The sequence below is a fragment of the Homo sapiens genome, chromosome X (genome assembly GCF_000001405.40).
Source record: "Homo sapiens chromosome X, GRCh38.p14 Primary Assembly".
NCBI classification, from domain to species: Eukaryota; Metazoa; Chordata; class Mammalia; order Primates; family Hominidae; genus Homo; species Homo sapiens.
Genome location: NC_000023.11, coordinates 151,713,475 through 151,733,891, shown reverse-complemented (window position 1 = coordinate 151,733,891; position 20,417 = coordinate 151,713,475). Strand labels below are relative to the sequence as shown.

At 48.9% G+C, this 20,417-nt stretch overlaps 1 protein-coding gene across 1 annotated transcript; it reads right to left on the bottom strand.

The window, feature by feature from the left end:
• FATE1 (fetal and adult testis expressed 1) lies at positions 10,698 to 17,857 on the bottom strand. Its single transcript, NM_033085.3, has 5 exons — positions 17,667 to 17,857; positions 16,493 to 16,620; positions 12,391 to 12,497; positions 11,911 to 11,989; positions 10,698 to 11,264 (listed from the first exon to the last, which is right to left on the bottom strand). Exons 1-5 carry the CDS (start codon positions 17,770 to 17,772, stop codon positions 11,133 to 11,135), a joined length of 552 nt encoding a protein of 183 aa, NP_149076.1. The 5' UTR covers positions 17,773 to 17,857; the 3' UTR covers positions 10,698 to 11,132.

The window sequence follows — 20,417 nt, the reverse complement described above, 5'->3', positions numbered from 1 at the left end:
AATCTGGTGACTGCCCCAGATTACTCCTTTGTGAGAGTTTCCAGACGATGGCACAGAGGGGAATGCAGGTGGAACTTGATGGATGACTCCCTGGGTTAGGGACACAGAGAACAGAATGAAAGGAGACCAAAGCAGCTAAAGTTTGCAGAACAGGGTACTGCAGAGGAGAGAGCTGCACAGAGAGAGCTCTGGAGACCTGCAAAGAGTCTGTCCCAAGTATTCATCTGAGTGCTTATTTGCACACACTGATGAGGGGGTTACCCACAGCTTAGGAAAGAACCATCCCCCCAAATTAGGCATTACAGTTCCCAGCTCTCACACAGGGCCTGGAATAGTGTCTCATGCCACCAGTCAAACTGGAAACCTAGTGGTTCATGGGCTATTGGGTAGAGTGCCTAGAAGGGGCTTGCCTCACTCATGAGGAATAACTGGTCCTTTCACTGAGCACTGTTCTAGTCCTACTGAAAAATCTTAAAAGCAAGACCCAAAAGGATCAAACTCTTTCCATTAACTTCACACCAGAACAAGCCTCAAGAATGTTTCTAGAAATACAAAAACACACAGCACCCAACAAAGTAAAAATCACAATGTGTGGCATCCACTCAGAAATTATCAGCCATGCAAATAAATTCTCAATAATGAGGAGGCAACAATCTATCAATTGAAATAAACCCAGAATTGACACAGATGTACAATTAGTACACAAGAATATGAAAACAGCTAATACAACTATATTCTATATGTTCAAAAAGTTAAGCAGGGCCATGAAATATATAAAAAGATCCAAGTCAAATTTCTAAAGATGAAAACTACAATATTTGAGATGAAAATTACACTATATGGGATTAACAGAAGATCAGATATTGCAGAAGAAGGAATTAGTGAACATACAGACAAACTTATTTTAAAATGAATTTACAGTATTTATTTAGACAATAAAACTATCCACAATGTAGCACAGAGAGAAAAGACAATCAGAAAACAACAATAGCAGCAACAGCAACAACAAAAGGCAAAGCGTCAGTGGAAACTACACCAAGGCATGTGAGTATCAAAGTGCCCACATCCACTGATAATAGGGAAATCGTAAAAGTTGCCCGAGAAAGAAGACACATTATGCACTGAATCACAAAAGTACAGATGGCATCTAATATCCACTAACAAAGGTACAGGTGACAACAAGACCTCTCTGCTAAGCTTCAGGCTTTCCTTCCAACTTCCAACTGGACATTACTCTCTGGCTGCCCTTGGAAAACTGCAGCTCATCTTGCGTCAAGTCACACTATTTATCGCCACCATCAGCCCTTTGACAGATAGACATTTGTGACTGACTGGGCCTTCAGACCCTCAACTGCTGGCTTCCAGGGTGGCTTGGCATTCTAACTTCTCCCTGAAGAGCATGCCCAGGCTCCCTCTCCCTGTCTACAGCTTTCTGCCAAGTTTCCCTGGTCCTAGGGTGAAGCCTGTATTCAGACTATGCCACCCTTCTTGCCAATACTGCCTGCACTACAATGTGTACTGCCTGAGGGCAGGCATCAGTGTCCGTGTTCTTGTCCACTACATCCCTGCACTGCACTGAGGGTGGCTCCTGAAAAGCATTGCCTACATGTTGGTGGAAGGAAGGAAGAGAGGGAGAGAGAGGGAAAAAGACATAAAGACTAGATCTTGGTGAAGTTCTGAGGAATCTCAGAAGACAGAGCTCAGAAAAGGGAACTCCTGAGCCTGAAGCATTGAGCAGGGGAGAACAGATGCAGGAGGTCTTCCTGGGGAGCGGGTTGGTGAGGGAGTAGCTCATGAAACCGGTTTCTCTAAGTAACCAGACGTCCCAGCTTCTCATACAACCCAGCCCATCCTTGATAGAAAAGCAGAAGAAGCTCAATAAGGACTTAAAGGATTCAATCAATATAGTTAGAATACTTGATCTAGTTAAAGCAGAAAAAAATTACATCACCCCAGTTGGTATAGAAAAAATATTGAACAAAATTCAGAACTTATTTACTTTTTTTTCTTGTGCAATTTTCTAAAGCTATAAAGGGAGAGTTTTCTTTTTTATACTTTAAATTTTAGGGTACATGTACACAACGTGCAGGTTTGTTACATATGTATACATTAAATATCTTAGGAAATTAGAAATAGAAAGGACCTTCTTTCTATTCCTAATATATACATAGAAATATATATATAATATATAAATATATATTATATATAATTATAATCTATTTCAATATTAAGAAATTATTTTCCTTTTTCATGGGATTAGGAATTCTAGGTAGGGCACGGTGGCTCACGCCTCTAATCCCAGCACTTTGGGAGGTTGGGGCAGGTGGATCACTTGAGGCCAGCAGTTCAAGACCAGCCTGGCCAATGTGGCAAAACCTCATCTCTACTAAAAATACAAAAATTAGCTGGGCGTGGTGGCAGGCATCTGTAATCCCAGCTACTCGGGAGGCTGAGGCACAAGAATTGCTTGAACATGGGAGGTGGAGGTTGCAGTGAGCTGAGATTGCTCCACTGTGATCTCTTGTAAAAGGAATTTTAAAAAGTACGTAAACTATCACCATTTCTAAACACTACTGTGCTGGATTCCTCAGTCAGTGCAATAAGCAAGAAAAATAAATGAAGCGCATAAGTACTGGGAATAAAAATAAATGTTTTAAATAGAGTATGGTTAATAATTCATAGTATATTTCAAAACTGCTAAAAGAGAAGATTTGAAATAGTCTCGACACAAAAAATAATAAATGTTTGAGATTATGAGTATCCCAGTTACACAGATTTGATTATTACACATTGTATGCATGCACCAAAATATCACGTGTACCACATAAATATTTATCATCTCTATGTATCAACAAAAAAATTTAATGTAAACAACAAAACTATGATGATGAAACAGTAGGAAACATTTTACATAATATTGAGTTAGAAAGACAATATCATGAAAGAAAACATTGAACATAAATGCACATTAAACCCAACATTTAAAAGAATACAATAAACTGAAAACAAATTTGACAGAGAAAGAAAAAGATTGATTTTTTTTATAAACAGAGATCTTACAAGTCAATATATTAAAAAAATAAAAACAGTAAAATCACAAAAATACAGGTGCAAGGATGCTAGTCACAGTGACGTATACCTTAATGAATTAATCAATTAACCGAGTGAACCAAGACCATAGGGTGGAATGCTATGCAGCCCTTAAAATGGTATTACTATTGTAAAAGACTACTTCTTGTCAGGGGGATACCAGGTTTCAAAATGGAATGTTCTGTTATGTTAATAATTTCCATGCATGCATGTGTGATATATATTCACACGTAGATACATAAACTCACAAGATCAAGACTTTATTTCTCAATTCTGAGGGTGTGGGGAAATTGTTTTCTTTTGTATATTTTTTATAGTGTCCGATATTCTGTATTGTAATGTGTGATGTCTGTAGTCGGGAAGGGAGGTTATAGGGCTATATAATAAAATAAAATATTACTTTAAACTTTAGTTTAAAACAACAACAGCAACAAAAATCCAGCCCATTTTGGTTTCAGGTTCAACTTAATACCAGGTCAAGCCAAAGTTTTTCCACTGATACTGGGAAGGGATCTTCTCCATGGTTGACAGCCTAGAGAGTCAGACTACTATACGTCTTAGCCAGAAACTAGTCCCCCAGGTAGTCAATATCTGATATGTTTTAATATCAGATATTTTCCATTGCAGTGGAAAAAGTCTTGGGTGGCAGGCAGAGAATGCTACAGAGGAGAGTCATAGACATCATGGGGGGCAGGGTGGTAGGGCAGACAGGCAGAGAAGCAGGGAGGTGTGTGGGTGAGCAGCAATAGCTAAGTCCCAGAGGAAGAAGTGGGTATCCCTGACAGGAAGCTGGAATCTGGTGATTCAGGGGCAGGTTCTCATTCATGGAGCAGCTACCTTGTGCTAAGTACTTGACATAAGTTAATTCGTTTAAACCTCATGACAACCTGACAAAGTTGACACTATTCTTATCCCCGTTGCACAGATTCATACCTAAGCAATTTGGCTGCAAAAGCACCCTCAGTCACAGGGCCAGCTTGGAAGGTAAAATGAGCCAGGAAGTGCACAAGTACTAAAAAGAGAGGTATGGTCAGAACTGCACTGGAAGCAGCAGGCTCCTGGGCTGACTTTTGAGTGTGGAGCTGAAGCTGCCATGACCCCCTGTGCCCAGGCTTAGGAGGGACAGTGGGGGGGGGGGCCCAGCTGTGATAAGGTGAGCTGCAGGAGCTGGAGGTGGAGAGCATGCCGGGCACTCACTAGGCAGGTAGTGGGCCTTTGAGTCTGAGCTGCCTCAGCCTCCCTGAGTTCAGGCTCCAGCACAGCAGCTTCATGAACTAGGTCCTTGAGAACTACTTGTTGAATGAATAAAATCTCCAGAAGGATACACAAAAGGCAGGGCTTTGCCCAAGAGGCTTGGCAGGCCAGCATGGTTGATCACTACCTTGACAAGGGGCTACAGTCTCTAGTGTGGACACCACTATGACAAACTTACCATGATTGGGCTGCTTTGCCAAGGGAGGCTTCGTCTCTTTATAGACAAAGATGGGGCTGGGGCAATATGCCTGGCATCAGCCACATACAGTCCATACCCCAGGGGAGGCTCCTCCTAGAAGGCCGCCCAAGACAGGCTGGACCCTAGTGATTGTAGCTCATCTCCCTAAATGCTCCTGACCTCACTGAGAAGCCCCTCCTGAGCTCCATATCTTCAGGTGCCCATGGGCCAACTCTGTCTCCTAGAGGAAGACACTGGGCCCCTGGAACCAATATGTTCAAACTGACATGAACTTCTGCCCCTCCGCCCCAGCTCCTCTGTCCCCAGCACCTTATCTGGAGAAAGGCACATCTTGCCCCACATGTGCTTAATTCAGAAACCTAGGAGTCATCCTTGATACCTCGCACCCGCTCCCCAAATCATATTTGTTATTCTGCTGGAATCTCTCTCTAGCACCTTCTTCTCCATCCATTCTGACTGCTGCTGCCCTGGGCCTTGCCCAGACTCTGTCACAGTCTCACTGTTTCTCTATTTCCAGATCCCAGCTCTTCCTTTCCTTTATCTTCCACATCACCAGGGTGAGTTCATAGGACTACACCTGGTCCTGTCTGTTGCTCCTCTGAAAACCCATGGAAAGAAGACCGCACTCTAGAAATAAACTTTATGTGGCAAGGACTCATCTAATTTTTTTAGTCATTAATCTGCAGAGCAGAGCCCAATGGTAAGCACGTAATAAGTGCTTGATACATATTTGGCAAGTAAATGAATGAATGAATGATTCTCCCAAGTCTACCTTGTTTCATGTTCACTTTTCCCCCACTTTATTTGTATCATAGATTTATCATCTCCTGACAATGAACTACAGATTTTCTTGTTCCCTGCTACATCCCAGGATTAGGGATCATGTCCAGTATTTGTTGGATGGATGGAAGGATCATCTAAATAATACATTCCAAACTCTGCACTCCGGCTTTCAAACTCCTTCAGGTTGTCACTAGACCCATGTATGCAGCCTCATCTCCTGTGGGGCCATTTTGTGTTGGAGCTTAGTGGGGGTGTGGCCAGGGCTGGTCTTGGCAGTTTTGTGGCCACCATGACACCTGCAGATCAACCAGGTACATATTCTGTCTGCCACATGCATGTGTCCAGTCCAAGCACTAGTGTCCCTCCCTCTGGAGAAGGTGGTCACTGATGAGTGGTACTAAGGAGCAGTTGGAGGGGGCCCAGCTATGCAGAAAGAGGGGCCCAGGGACCCAGCTACTGGCAGGATGTCTAGAGATGAGGCTGCTCCAATACTAGCTGCCTCCTATGGCCACAGTCTCACATGGACGGAGCTTACACTTGCCACTCTGGGCTCAAGCTGAGATGGATGCAAGCTCAGCTGGGGAGCCCAAACGGGGTACCAGGCCTGAAGCAGCCCTGGAAGCCTATCTCTGCCCCAGGCCTGCTGCCTGGCTCCAGAATCTTCCCTCAGCCAGAAGCTCCAAGGGCTTCACCCCACATGCATTTCCCCAAATGGCAGAGTGGCTGGCTCCCAAGCCTGAGAGGCCTGAAGTGGGTGATCCCCTCTAAGGATCTCCGAAAGAGGTCAGGGTACAGTTCAAAGAGCCAAAAGCAAAGGCTGCAATCCCAGCATGGCTCCTGGGAGAAGCCCACATAACCCACACCCCTACCTCCACTGCTACTCATATGCAGAGAGCCACAGGCTCCAAGTGAACACTGCCCGTGCTCTGAAGCTGAGGGGCCCAGAAATGCTCGGAGTCAGACAGGCAGTGAAGGCCTATGGGTTCCCCCCTTCCTCCCACTGAAGCTTGCCTGTCGGGCAGGCCCTCCGTCCCTCTGCTCCAAATCTGCTCCAGCAACCCTCCCTGCCACCCTCCTGGGAAAGGACAAAGTCCCAGCTGCTTCAGGACAAGCTTTGTGTGGCACTCAGGGCCTCCACCCTCCTAGAGCCCCAAATAATTTCTTTGGCTGCTTTAACAGGGGACAAAGTTTCCCAACACAGCCACTTTCCTCAGCTCCCTCGGCAGATGACACATATGAAGACCCATGTCAAGCCAGGTTCTAGGGCCCACGCACTTTTCACGGACTCCAGTTCTGTACCCCCATGGAGGTAACTGGCCTGTGGTCACAGAAAGGTATCAGCCCAAGGTCAGCCGCTTTCCTCACCAATCAGATGGCTTCAGAGGCAGGGGCTCTCCTGGCCAGTCAGCATCCGTTGGTCCTTCTGCACAACCTCCAGTCAGAGACAAACCACTGGGGGCTCATCGGCATCTGGAGCTAACAGAGATCTCCTGCCATTCCTGCCCCTCAGGCCAGCGGGGCCCTTGAGCCCCTGACAACTTAGCTGCAGCCTCGGGGTCAGAGAGCTGCCCCACCCTGCCTGAGGCCAACAGGAGAAGCTGGCAGAGGCCAAGAAGAGCTCATGCTCATGGCTAAGGCAAACTCAAGACGCTGCCCCAGGGTGTCACCTGCCCAATGGAGAAGCTGGCCTGTCTGTGGGCACTGTACACCCCAGGCTGTTGGCAGGCGAGGGCTGGGTGCTGGGCTGCCTGGCTGTAGAAGCTGCTTGCCTGCCCAGATCCAGAAGCCAGCCCCTCCCAAGCTCCCTGAGGAGCCCTGCCTTGCACGGAGCATGCTCAGAGCTATGTGTCTGGGGATTCAACCCCACCAGCTCACAGCCCTGGTGTACTTGCCTCCAGACCTTGGCACAATCTCAACCAGTCCACCTGATCTGAGGTCAAGCCAGGGAGAAATCTGAGAGAAGAGGTACCTGGGGTAGGGCTGGCCTGAGGGGAAAATCCATACCTTCTCTGCCAGGTCCCCTGGACTTGGCCTCCAAGAAGGGTTGGGGTTAGGGAAGGGAAACAAGGCAAGACCCTTGGGGCAGTGAGCTTTGGGCTCCTTTCCAAGAAGCCAGGATTTCAGGCTGCTCCTGGGTACACCAGAGTCCCCTCCATGCACCCTCATGTACCCCTCCTCACATGCCCACCTTCCTCTTCCCACCTTCCACCAGCTGCCAGGAAGCCAGCCTGTGACAAAAGAACTGGAATATTGAGTTTCAGCTTTTGACCAGGACTGGCGGGGGACCAGGGGCCCACTTGGCAGGGCAGAGAACTACATAAATGGAGGATTAAAGCTTTGCCCACCTGCGCAGCCAGCTGGGAAGACAAGCCACTCCCTCAGGGGGCTGCTAGGAGGGGCTTAAATGACATCCTGCGTGCAAAGCCTGGGATACATACAGGTGCGCATAATCTGCATGGAACAGCATAGAGAGTTCGCAAGGATACGCACCAACCAAACCATGGGAAATAATTCAGTGGAGGGACTTGGCATTTGGGGTGCAAGGGACTGTGTTAGCTAGGCCTGCAATGTTTGCCTTTTTGGGGAGAATGTGTTCATGCACAACTTGCGTAATTAAATATTTTTAAGATGCAAAGTGCATGGCACAGAGTAGGTGTGCCGTAGGAAGCGAAGAATAGAATTGGCTCCCTTTGGTGGGGAAAGGTTTTCAACAGAAGGCATACCCTAAAGGCCAGGAGGGGAAGACCAGGGCTAGATTCAATCTCTGGGGACCCTAATCAGAGGCCATCCTGCCAGTCCTTTACTTGTTCCAGGAGTGCAGAAGACAATGCAGGCTACCTTGTGCCCTCAAGAAGCTACTGATCCAGTGGAGGACTGATGTGTACCCCTCTAATACTAAGCCTGGGCAGCCCCTGGGAAGCTTCAAAGACTAGAGAAAAACAGCACGCCAGGAGAATCCCCTCCCCCACCCCCAAGTAAGAATGAGTTCCTTCCCTCCTTCATTCACCCACAGCATCCTGCTTCACCATGGGGAAGTTCATGGCTTGCTGGAGGAAGGGCTGGGCTCAGGGTGGAGAGGTTGGGCAAGGCAAGGACAGTTTGGCAGAGAAATGCAATCAGATGGGCAAATGCTCTAGGTGGGTCAGAGCCAGAGGGCCAGGCAGGAGGTGCCAACTTGCCTCCTGGCACTCTGCCCCCGAGCCTCCCTGGATCTCCCAGAGGCTTGGGAATCACAGATGTGCCAGCCCCCACAATATGGTCCCCATGCCCCTTAAGGAACATTGCAGAGGGGCCCAGACTGGGCAGCTCTGACTCCAGTTCCTCTCAGGAGCTTCCTGAGGTCTTCTAGGTGGGGCAGGGAGTTCTAGAGATAGAGCAGGAATGCCCTTCTAGGAACTGGCCTCCAGCCCTGCTGGGAACCAGCCAAATGGTCACACAGAAAGGCAGGGTGGAGGCCCAGCCACGGGCTCCTTATGAGCCCACCTGGCTCAGGAGACGTTCCTCTAGGGCACTGCCGTGCTGTTTGTTTGCAACTCAACTAAATTGCTCCCAAGGGTGAACCTTTGTTTCACAACATATTTTCAGCCAGACTTTTTCTGCAAACATGTCCATGTCTGTGCAGGCTCACAAACACTCAGGTCCCAAAGGGCAGACCCAGCCCTTCCCAGCTGCAGCCTCCTCTTCCTCTGAGCTTCCCTGTGGGGCCTGACTGGGGCCGGAGAAAGGGGCAGCCCGGGGTAGACAGTGTGAAGGCTGGACTCATGGCAGTTGGAGCACTGGGCTGATGGCAAGAAGCTGCACGTGCTGCCCCTGCTCCATCTCCCTGCTTCCCTTAATATTCCTCTGTATCTTGGGTCCTGCTCTGTCCTGAAGCTGCAGGAAGGGGAGGGGCGGCCTGCAAGGAGGTCCCCCAGTCTTCCATCTAGCCCATGGGTGACTCCTGGGGCCCCAGGCCCCATTTGCAGAGGACAGGGAACACCCCTGGTACTCCCTGGCCCTCTTGGCTCTCCTGGCCAGAAGTACTCATATCTGGGTGCTGCTGTTTCCCCATTCTGCAGAGGGGCTTCCTGTGGCACTTGATTACCTCTGTGCTCTGGGACCAGAGAGAGAATCTTTCTCTCTGGTGTTTCTTTCCTAGGTGTCCTTTTCTCTGCTTTGAGCAGGGCCCAGGCTCCAGGGGCCACGTGCCTCGTGTCCCACAGGGCTGACAGGAGGCCCTGCATCCTCATCTTAGAAGTATTGCAAGCCCTAGAGTGTCAGGCGTGGAAGAACCCCCTCATTGTATAGGAGCCCACTGAGGACCAGAGAGAAAGAGGTGGAGCAGGGACAGAGCAGGCTCTGGGACTCAAGCTTCTCTCTCTCTCTCTCTCTACTCTAACTTCCCTCCCTCTGCCGCTCTGTATCGCTGACTGTATCTCTCTCTCTGCCTCTCCCTTCCTCCATCCTTTCTTCTCTCCTCGCCTCCCCTCCTCTCCCTGTCTCTTCTCTGTCTCTCTCTCTCACATACACAGACACACACGTTCATTTCATACCTAGGGACTAACACGCTTCCCAGTCTTTACAGATGGAGAATCCTTGACAGATTTGGGGGATTAGGGAAGGTGCACTTAGCAACTAAAGCCAATGAGAAAGTTCTGGGTCAGAGACATGTGTGTTGAGCCCTTGGTCCCAGGGAAAGGGGTTGCAGCTCCTCTGCAGGCCTCCTGCACCAGGCACATCTGCACTGTGGTCAGGCCCCCACATGGCAGGCAACATTCTCCACCTCTCAGGCTCAGCCCCACTGGACAGCCCAGCTATTCACCCTGTCTGAGGTGTGCTTCATGGGCTGTGGACCCAGAGTGTGTGGTGGGTAGGGTGAGGGGTATGTGTAGCTCCCGTTCAGCCTCCAGAGCTGAGGCAGGACCTCATCTCCAGTGAGTCTGTCTGCAGGAGGCAGGCCAAGCCCTAGCGTAGGACTCAGGAGAACTCACGCCAGAGAACTCACATCCAGGCCCTGTCTCACTGGATGACCCAGGGACATGTTTCCTCTCTCTGGAATTCAATTTCCTCTTGCGCAAATGAGGTTTCTGGTCCCTTTCAGGAGATTTCCTCTGATTGCTTCCCTGCAACACAGCGCAGACATGCTCCCAGAACCACACCCCCACAAGCACTGGTTTGCATGAGCCCAACAGGAAGAACTTTGCAAAGCTGGGGCTGGGGACAGGGAGGTGGGGGAGGTGAAAGGGAGGAGGGAACCAGGGCCCCTGGGGCAATGGCAGAGGCTCAGTCCCAGCCACAAGGTCTCTGTGAAGAGGAGCTGTTGTTTCCCAGCGCACCCCACCTCCACTGTTGCCCCCAGTGAGTGCTGGACACAGGAACCTCAGCCACAGGGTTTTGCTGCTATGGCTGAACTTTTATTGAGCGTGTTGTCTGTGCAGAGCGCTGTGCACGAGGTGGAAGCAAACGAGGGAGGAAAACAAAGCCACACCCCTGCCCACAGAGGATGGAACAGAAGGGCCGCTGAGGTCAGGAAGGCAAGGTTGCCACTAGGTGTTACTGTGGGGCCCAGATGCCGCCATGCTGTTCACCCTTCAAAGGGTGGCATCTCAGCCCACGCAGTCCTCCTCCAGCTTCGCAGCAGCCAGGACCTCCCAGTGCAGTGACCTGGCCTCCCCAGGTAGGAGGCCTAACCAGAGTTGAAAATGATCCTGACGCTCCTGAGGGCTGCTGGGAGATGAAAGGGGCAAGGGCAGTGGCGGCCTGGGGAAAGAGGAAAGAAAGAAGGGGAAGCAGGGAGGGCTCCAATACGGAGGCCGCGCTGGGGCGATCACTGGTTCATCCACAGCCACAGGTTGGCAATGCTGGCCGACACCAGCACGGCGATGATCAGGGTCTCCCTGTGGCGCCAGGTGGCGCCCTGTTCCTCCAGGGCGCGCAGACGCCGGTTGACTGCATACAGCTGCAGAGGAGTCAAAGGCAGGGCTGCTGAGCGAGGCTCTTCTCCAGAAGCCCACAGCACAGCCATGGGAAAAGCATAAAGTTAGAGCAAGAAGGGGCTTGATTGCCCTTTGGCGGTGGAGCGGGGAGCGCCCCTAGTGAGAAGCAGGAGGCTGGGCCAGGTCCGCGGGACCAAAGACCTGGCTGCTACGTCTGCAGGCCCCACTTTTGCCTTCTCCCTTATGTTCACTTCCCTTCTCTGGAAGAGACCAGCCCATTCCAGCTGCGCCGGGGAGCCAAGGAAGAAAGGATCTCCTCCTAAGAAGGTCTGGGTTTGGTTTGAACAAAGGCGACCCCTCTCTCAGACCCTTAGGTATCACTCTCTCTCTGGACATAGAACCCTTATCCTTGTATGTTCCCTCTTCCTCCACCTTTTATCTGCCCCTATTCCCTACCAGCATCTCAGGGACAGCAGTGAGTTTGAGGCTGGACATCTATGCGGGGTGTCAGAGCCATGGGGATGAGGAGGAAGAGGAAGGGAATCTGCCCCACCTCCAGCGCTAAAGGGAAAGATGACTGTAAGGGACTACAGGACCCCAGCTGTCGAGCCCTGCCTATTCCAAGGCACTGTGATTCTGCTTGCACCCACCGATTGGGTCCCTCCTCACCTGTCTTCTCATGACTTCCATCTCCAGTACATTGAACTCTTCCAGGCTAGTCTGCGCCACTGCATCTGTCCCTGGGTTGCTGGGAGAGAAAAAAGACAGATGGTCAAAGCTGCTGGTGGTCCCTGGCAGGGAGCACAAGAAGGCAGTGAGGTCAAGCAGGTAAGGTCGTGATCTTCTTGGACAGTGACTCTATCAGCCTCCAGTCCTCTTCCATGGTAAAGAGGGCCTAGGGCCTTGAGGGCTGGGAGTCAGCCTGAGCTAGCCTGAGCCAGCCTGGCCCAGCCCAGTCCAGCCCAACTCGGCTAGGCCGCAGAGCACTGGGATGCCCCAAATGGGCAGGGAGCCAGGGTACTCATGGTCTCTGACAGGGAGGCATTCCAGGCCCTCATGACTCCATCCTGGCCAGGCTGCTCACCAGCCCCTCTGCCCCACTCCGGGCCCTGTCTGAGCAGCCAGGGCCCACAGACCCTCAGCTCTTACCGATCATAATGGAAACGTATGCCTTGGAAATTGCCAGCGTACTCCTGGAGATGGGCATCCCCATGGCCTGATTCTCTCAGCATTCTGGGCTTTGGCAGCTGGGACCCCTGAAGAAAGGAATGGTCAGTAAAGTAGCCTGCCCAACCCCACATGAGTGGCTTCTCCAGTTTGCCCAGAGCCAATGGTGCACCCCATGGGGAATCACATGGTGCCTGGTCTCTGGAATCAAGGGCTGGCAGCTTCAGGCCGCTAGGAAAGCTTGGGAACCCCACACAGGCTGCTGGCCACCACCCCACCCACACCATGCTCCTCGGTAGCTCTTGGTCATCCAGGCAGGCTGTGGCAAAAGAGGAGCAGTAACAGGGGTCCCTGTCCTCTGCAAGAACTTTCACATGCAGGTATTAGCTGAGAGGCTGAGCAACCTACTGAAGGAGAACGTAAAACCTTGATTGGCAGCCCAGGCCATGGAGGCCTGGCGAGATGCCTTTACTTTCCAAGGATGCGTGGTAAATGTCAGGGCTAAGGCTAGAACCCTGGCTACTGGGAAACCAGCAACTCCTCTGGGTAAGCTCAGCCAGCCATCCCTGTGGCTTTCATTTTTATCCATCTGCCAACAACTCCCTAGCATGTACATCTCTGGCCCAGAGCCCTTGGGCCAGGGCCATCTGATGCCTTTGAAGCATCAGTGGGGGATAGAGGAAAAGAGCGTGGCTTTTGGTGCCAGACCTGCCTGGGCTCAAATCATAGTTCTAGGTTTCCAGTTCAAGATGAAATGTTTCACAAGCTGCTTATTTAACACACACCACATGCCAGGGACCATGCCATCCTCTAAGCCCTTACCAATACTAAGTGACTGATTCCTCGTCACAGCCCTGTGAAACGGTATCATTATCATCCCGTTTTGAAAGTAGGGGAAACTGAAACACAGAGAGGTTAATTACCTTGTCCAAGTCACACAGCTAGGAAGTAGCAGAGCAGTAATTTGAACCCAGGACATTTCAGTCCAGAGGTTATACTCTCAGCCATTACACTACGATGTCCCTCATATTTAACACTCCTTCCTGTTAAGGCTCCACTAATTGCCAGTGAAGACAGTAAAACAGTACAAACCCATAAGACAGAAGACAACACAAGAGGCATCAGCTAATGAAAGAATTCAATAAAATTCTGGAATCTAGGAAGTGTCCATGGAGGAACTAGGCCTCATTGTGGATGGGAAGCAGATGGGACTCAGCTGACAAAGGAGGCCCCCGCCAGCAGCATCCAGAGAGGACTTAGACCTGCAAGGACAATGGCGGCATATCACAAGAAAGGAGGGGAGGGAGGAAAACAGGGCCTTTAACTAATGATCTATGTAGGAAGCAGTCATCCACACTTCTCACTCCTGGTTGGCAGCCAGGCACTTACCGCCAAGCCAAAACCTGAACCAAATGAATAAGAAAGCTGGGGTGAAAGTGACACAAAATAAAACCGTCTTCATTCTGGCAGGGTTCAGGGTGCCCCACATGACAGCCAGTTCCTTACCCGCTCACCCTGCTGAAGTAGAGCCTGTCATTTGAGAGGCCTGACTGAGGCGCACAGAGTACTGGGTTAGCTCTTCTATTTGCCTCATTCTTACAAAAAAATAGACAACCAAGGCTCACCTGTCACCTGAGAAATATCTGCAGCCCTCTTCTGTTCCGAAGTAACAACATCAAACTGAAGGTGGATCAATTTCTGTGTAAAGGATTTTCATAGGAACTTTGCCACTGCACTCTGTTTGTTGCAATAAGGCATAACTAATCTTTCTCAAGAGGAGCACACAGATATTGGTGCAACTTTTTTATGAACCGTAGTTCATGGTCACAATATTTTATTTTCTTAAGATACTTCAAAAATTGCATTAAAAAGATAATGGGTATTAGGGAGACCCCATGACTATAATTTGATCAATGATGTCTCTTAGAAAAATTTTCAGACCATTGCTTGATTTTCCTATAAATTGGAATCAGAAGGACAAAAAAAATTTTGAGAGATTTGAAGGCAAAAAATAAGGATGAATGGCTGATGGCTGGAATTTGTTTGTTTGTTTCAGATAACATAGTTTGTTGTTAACCCACCAAGTCCCAACTTCTCTCTGTTAATCATTTCAAAAAATGTTATTTTAATTTCCATGTAATTTTAAAGGCACACTGCTTTTTTCCAAGTCAGCAGGATAGCATTATTAACTTTTCTCACCCTTGCATATTATGGTTCTCCTAGAGGCAGTTCCATTAACTGTTTTATTCAAAAATAAAGGAATGAATGAATTAATAAATAAATAGAATTAGTAAATTAGATTTCCTAATTCTAAATTTCTAAATTTAATTTATAAATTCAATATAATGTCTATATTTTCAAACAGTCTACCTCTAGCCCTTGTAGTCAACTTTAATTAAACCAGAGATTATATCTCCCCTAGTCTCAGGGACATTAGTGGTTTGCAGGAGCCTGACCTCCTGGAGCAACTTGATTTGGCTTCTGTCTTTGGACACAAAAAGTCAACTCAATATTTGACTTATTTTTATTCCCAGGAAACCTCTAACCTGGAAGCTTTTTTTCTCATTCTTCACTGGGGCCACCCAATAAATCATTTCAGCAATCGAGTCTCCCTCCCTCTCCAACCTTATTGCCCCCCAGTAACTTTCAAACTTCACTGTGGTAACAGTAAAGCCACCATTTTCTAAAATTTTCCCTCATCCATCTGAATGTGGTGAAAAGCACTGGCTACAGAATGATGGGATTCGTGATTCCCTAAAACAGTCAGGTCTACCTCCTCTCCAAAATGGCTCAGTATCCTTTGCAACAATGTGGCCAGCATTTTTCTAGAACATTCAACACCCACAATGAATGTAGCTTAAAGTACAGAACTATGGGACTCACATGATTTCCTGGAGCAGTCAGGCCTCCCTCCCTCTCCAATCTTGTTGCCTTTTCCCAGCAGCCTTTGCAACAGCATAACAACAATTTTTCTAAAACTTTCCCTTACCTACAGTGAATGTAGCTAGCTAAAATGATTGGATACAGAACTGTGGGACTCACTTAATTCTGTAGAATAGTCAGGTTTCCCTCCCCCTCCAAAATGACTGTGTTTTCCCAATATCATTTGCAACATTATAGCCACTATTTGTTCTAGAACATTCCTTCACCCATATTGAATGTAGCTTAAAAGGATTGCCTACAAAATAGTCAGATTCACTTGCCTGGATTTCTTTCTTCTTTCTCTTTCTTTCTTTCTTTCTCTCTTTCTTTCTTTCTTTCTTTCTTCCTTTCTTCCTTCCTTTCTTTCTTTCCTTTTCCTTTCTTTTCCCCTTCCTTCCTTCCTTCCTTCCTTCCTTCCTTCCTTCCTTCCTTCCTTCCTTCCTTCCTTCCTCTCTCTCTCTTTCTTTCTTTCTTTCTTGACAGAGTCTCACTCTGTTGCCCAGGCTGGAGTGCAGTGGCATGATCTCAGCTCACTGCAACCTCTGCCTGCTAGGTTCAAGCAATTCTCATGCCTCAGCCTCCTGAGTAGCTGGGATTACAGGCATGTGCCACCATGCCCAGCTAATTTTTGTATTTTTAGTAGAGACGGGGTTTTACCATGCTGGCCAGACTGTTCTCGAACTCCTGGCCTCAAGTGATCCGTCCGCCTCCTCCTCTCAGAGTGCTGAGATTACAGGCATGAGCCACCATGCCAGTCCACTTGACTGGATTTCTTAACAGCCAGAAAGCATAGGAGCCTCACCTGACTTATTGTGTGTATACACGCGCACACACACACACACACGTACCACACACATAATTTTAAATACAGGAAAGCGTTATTTCACACAATAGATTTATAGAGTAAAGTATTTATGTACTCCCCATGCAATATTTGTTTCAGGCATTCTGAATTCCCAAGGTTGAACCCCCAGCATAGGAAAGGATGACCCTGACCTTTAATTGGAACTTCCTGTCCTCATTTGCCAGCTTGGAGCACAGGAGCTTCCTCCTCCTCACAAGTCAACGTCTAGCCCTGCCTGACCTGGTCAGGCTAGAGCCCCTACAACCAGTACTCCCAACCCCAACCTGGCCACCAAGTGCTGAGGACCCCATACAGTACCATTTTCTTGGGTCGGGTGGCAGTCATATTCCAAACTCGTTTGGCTGAAGCAGAGCCAGCAGCTTTTTGTTCCAACTTCTGCTTCTTCTGGGAGGCACCCCGGGACCGAGATCCAAGCTCCATCATTTCTAGAGAGAAGAACAGAAGCTCCAGGAGCACCCATAGAAGTTGCACCAGGGTTTCTTGGGCACAAAACACACCAAAAAGAAGACAGAGTCTCCAGCTTTCTTGGGAATCACTCAGCACCCATTAACCACTGTCCATCAGCTGATCCCAGGTCTCAGTTTGTTCATCTGTTCAAAAGTTAAACCGGAATTTCCTGAGGGCTGAGCTCGAGACTAGGTTACTCTCCAGTAACCTAGAGACCAATGACCAAGAACAAGATTCCAGCTATCAAGGAACTGACCATCTGTTTGTGTATAAGGGGGAATGACAGGTGTAAAACAGAAAGCAATCTATCCTTGCAAATGCAGACAGAGAGATGCAGGCTCCATAAATGATCAAAACAGGGTAACATAGTGGAAGGAAAGGGCTCCTCCTAGAAAAGTAGGAGACAGCAATTGAGGTGGGGACCTGAAGGAAAAAAAGGACCCAGCCCTGGGAAATTGAGGGAAAGAGCATTCCAGGCAGAGGAAACAGCAAATGCAAGGTCTTTGGGGGAAGAAGCAGGCTTGGAGCATCGTAAGAACAAACATAAATGCAATGTGATCTGGATCCCTTTGTGTGCTATAGAAATGGTATTTTCTGTCTATATCATAGCATGAAACGTTTTGAGGAGGCTGATACAATCTTATAGATCATGGAATTTGGATTTTCCTCCAAATGGCAGGAAAATGAATTGGAGGATTGGGAGAGAGAATTGATCTCTGGTCTCATAATTTGAGCCCTCTGAGTATTTTGCAACAGAGACTGTGGTGGCTTGGATAAGGGGGAGACAGAGGTACTACACATGTTGTTCCCATCCTCCTCCCTCCCAGGGAAAAATGCTCACATCATCTATCCCTTTTCCCCTAGCTCCCTTACATCAACCCACAAATCCTCGAAGCCCGGCCAACACACAGATGTGCAAACACTTCCGTGCACACATGCACCTTTTCCAACACACACATGCACAGGTATAGACACGTATCTACACAGTTGGCTGTAGCCTAGGGGTATTTTAGGGGATCCTCACCTGCTATCACCAGGTGCTCTTGGTTTTCCCCTTGGCGTCCATGATTCAGTTCTTCTGCCAGGGACATTTCCATCTCCGCCTTGGTGTTGGGAGGGCCTCCTGCCATCACAACCAGCTGTTCTCTTGTAAGCTATGGCTAAGGATGCACAGGGTGCCAGGAACAGAGGAGTCACACTCAGAAAATCACCTCTTCCGGAAACAGGAGCTCAAGGAAGATATAGTCAGATCTGGGGGTGGAGTGAGACTCCCTCTCTAGGCTGAGGCCTTGGACACAGTACTTTCTGTTTCTATTGTATCTTGCTGGCTAGGTCAGTGGCCTTCTCCTCTGCTACTCTGTAAGCAACTTAGGAGAAGAGATACAATTCCGTGCCTTTGCCTGTGAGAACTGCTCTGGCTCATGAATCTCCATATTTAGCCCATGGGGAGAAGGGTGGGGTCCACCCTCCATCATTTCTATGAAGAAACAGGGATTGGCACAGGGTCCGAGAGCCAACAGTGGCCACAACAGAGTTAGGTGCTAGCAATCCAGGCCATACCACACCTTCAGAAGGGATTCTCTGGAGAGCGTATCCTACCTCCCCCATCCAGAGTCCCCAGACACGGGAGGTAGCCTTTTCCTGAAGTAGGTCAGCCTAGGCAGGAGCCATAACAAAGGGAGAGAAGGGCAAGAGAGGTGGGACCTGACTGCAGCCACTAGAACCCCCAGGGGCCTCAGGCCCTGCACCTTCTAAGTCCCAGTTCTCCCTCAGCTTCCCTACTGATTAGACCACTGTGATGGTCAGGTTTATGTGTCACCTGGCCAGGTTCTAGTCCCCAGTGACTCCATCAAACCCTAGTCTAGGTGTTGCTGTGGAGGCATTTTGTAGCTGTGGTTGGCATCTACAACCAGTGGACTTGAAATAAAGTAGAGACCCATCCTCGATGATGTGAGTGGGCCTCACACAATCAGCTGAGAGGCCTGAAGAGCAAAGACTGAGGTTTCCCAAAGTAGAGGTAATTCTACCCCAGGACTGCAATGTCAACTCTTCCTTGAGTTGCCAGCCTGCAGGGCTGCCTTGCACATTTCAGACTTGTCAGCCCCACAATCGCATAAGCCAATTTCTTAAAATAAATTTCTATATACTTGTGCATATGCAGATATATACATACATACATGCATACATACATACATACATACATACATACATACATACATATATACATCCTATCAGTTCTGTTTCTCTGGAAAACCCTGATTGCTACAACTACCTGTGGTGAACCCTTCATTCTAGGAAACAACCCCAGAGCCCCTGGGGGAATAGGAGGCTATTTGTAAAAGGAATCAGGACAGGTTTATATAAGGTTCCTTTTACAAATAGCCTCTTCTTCCCCCAGAGCCCCTGGGCCAGGTGGGAGGAAGAGGAGGAAGGAAGGAGGAAAAGAAGAAGGAAGGGAGGAAGGAAGGAAGGAAGGAAGGAAGGAAGGAAGGAAGGAAGGAAGGAAGGGAGAGAAAGTGGAAACGAAGGGGCCAGGAGTAGCTGAGATAGGGCGGCATGGTCTGAGGCTGCCTGCCCCCTGCCCCCACCTCACCTGTCCAGCTTGGGAACCAGAGCTGATATAGGCCCTGCCTGCATTCCTGGGGGCCCCAAAGAAGCCCTTCCCAGATCCAGTGGAGCAGCTGTGATGAAATTCGAGCTTTCTGGAGGGCCACCTTGGGAGCAGAGAAACTGCTGAGTGTGCTCAGCTCAGTGGGATTCAGGAGCCTGGGAAGCCCAGCCAGATTGAGCAAATGAAAATATAGGTACGAAGTACATTTAAATTTCAGATAAACAACAGTATAAGTATTCTCTCGTACACTAACTTTTGGGACATATTTACACTAAAGAATGATTCATGGATTGATTTGACATTGAAATTTAGCTGCATATCCTGTATTCCATCTGACAATCTTATCTCACTATGACTTCAAGATTTTACCTTGGGCAAGTTTCTCGCTTCTTTTGGTGTCAGTCTCCCCCATGGACAAGCCTCCCTACAGGGTGGCTGGATTGTGAGGAGCACTCAGAAGTCAGCAAAGCTAGAGCAGTGTGGGCACTGGCTTGCCACAGGGCCTCGGGCTATGGAGGCCAGATTTCTGTCTCGCTATCAACTGGCCCTGGTGGGGCTTCTTGGGCACAGGAGCACAGGGTCCAGGTGCATGTGGAGGCACTGCCCCCTGGTGGCATAGGAATCCACCACCTAAAGCCAAGCAAAGAGGGTGGGAGAATTCCTTCCCAATCCCTGAACCCCCAATGCCACTCAAAAACCCCAGCATCTCACCCCCTTAGCATGCCTTCCTTTCTTGGATTGAGTGCCAAGGACAACTTGGAGGTGACGAGAGTTTGCTATGTGCCTTTGAACTTGTCTCTTAGCATGCTAGCTAATTATAATTTCATAATTATCATCTGCATGGTAATCTCCTTTTGAAATGGCCCTAAATTCGTACTCCAACCATTCTGAAAAGCCCCCTACCCCAAAGTCTGTGTGCTAACCTCAGGGCCTCGAAGGACTAGAGCACCTGGGATACAGAGAGAGACCTTTCAAGTCTCACACGGTGCCTGGGTCCAGGAAGATGGCACATGGCCAAGTGTACATAACAGGCTGCAGAGCCCTAACACTCCAGTGGAAGGTTCTGCTCACCCAAAGGTTCAACAGATGCTTCTTCATAGGGGAAAGAAGGGTCCAGAACATACCTGGCTTGTATGTGTGTCTATATGTTTTCAGTGTTCAGTG

Coding starts and splice junctions, on each gene's coding strand:
- FATE1 (NM_033085.3), bottom strand. CDS start 17,772: ATGGCAGGAGGCCCTCCCAACACCAAGGCGGAGATGGAAATGTCCCTG. Junction 12,498..16,492: donor CCACCCGACCCAAGAAAATG/GTACTGTATGGG, acceptor TCCTTTCTTCAG/GGGTCCCAGCTGCCAAAGCC. Junction 11,265..11,910: donor TGGAAGTCATGAGAAGACAG/GTGAGGAGGGAC, acceptor ACTCCTCTGCAG/CTGTATGCAGTCAACCGGCG.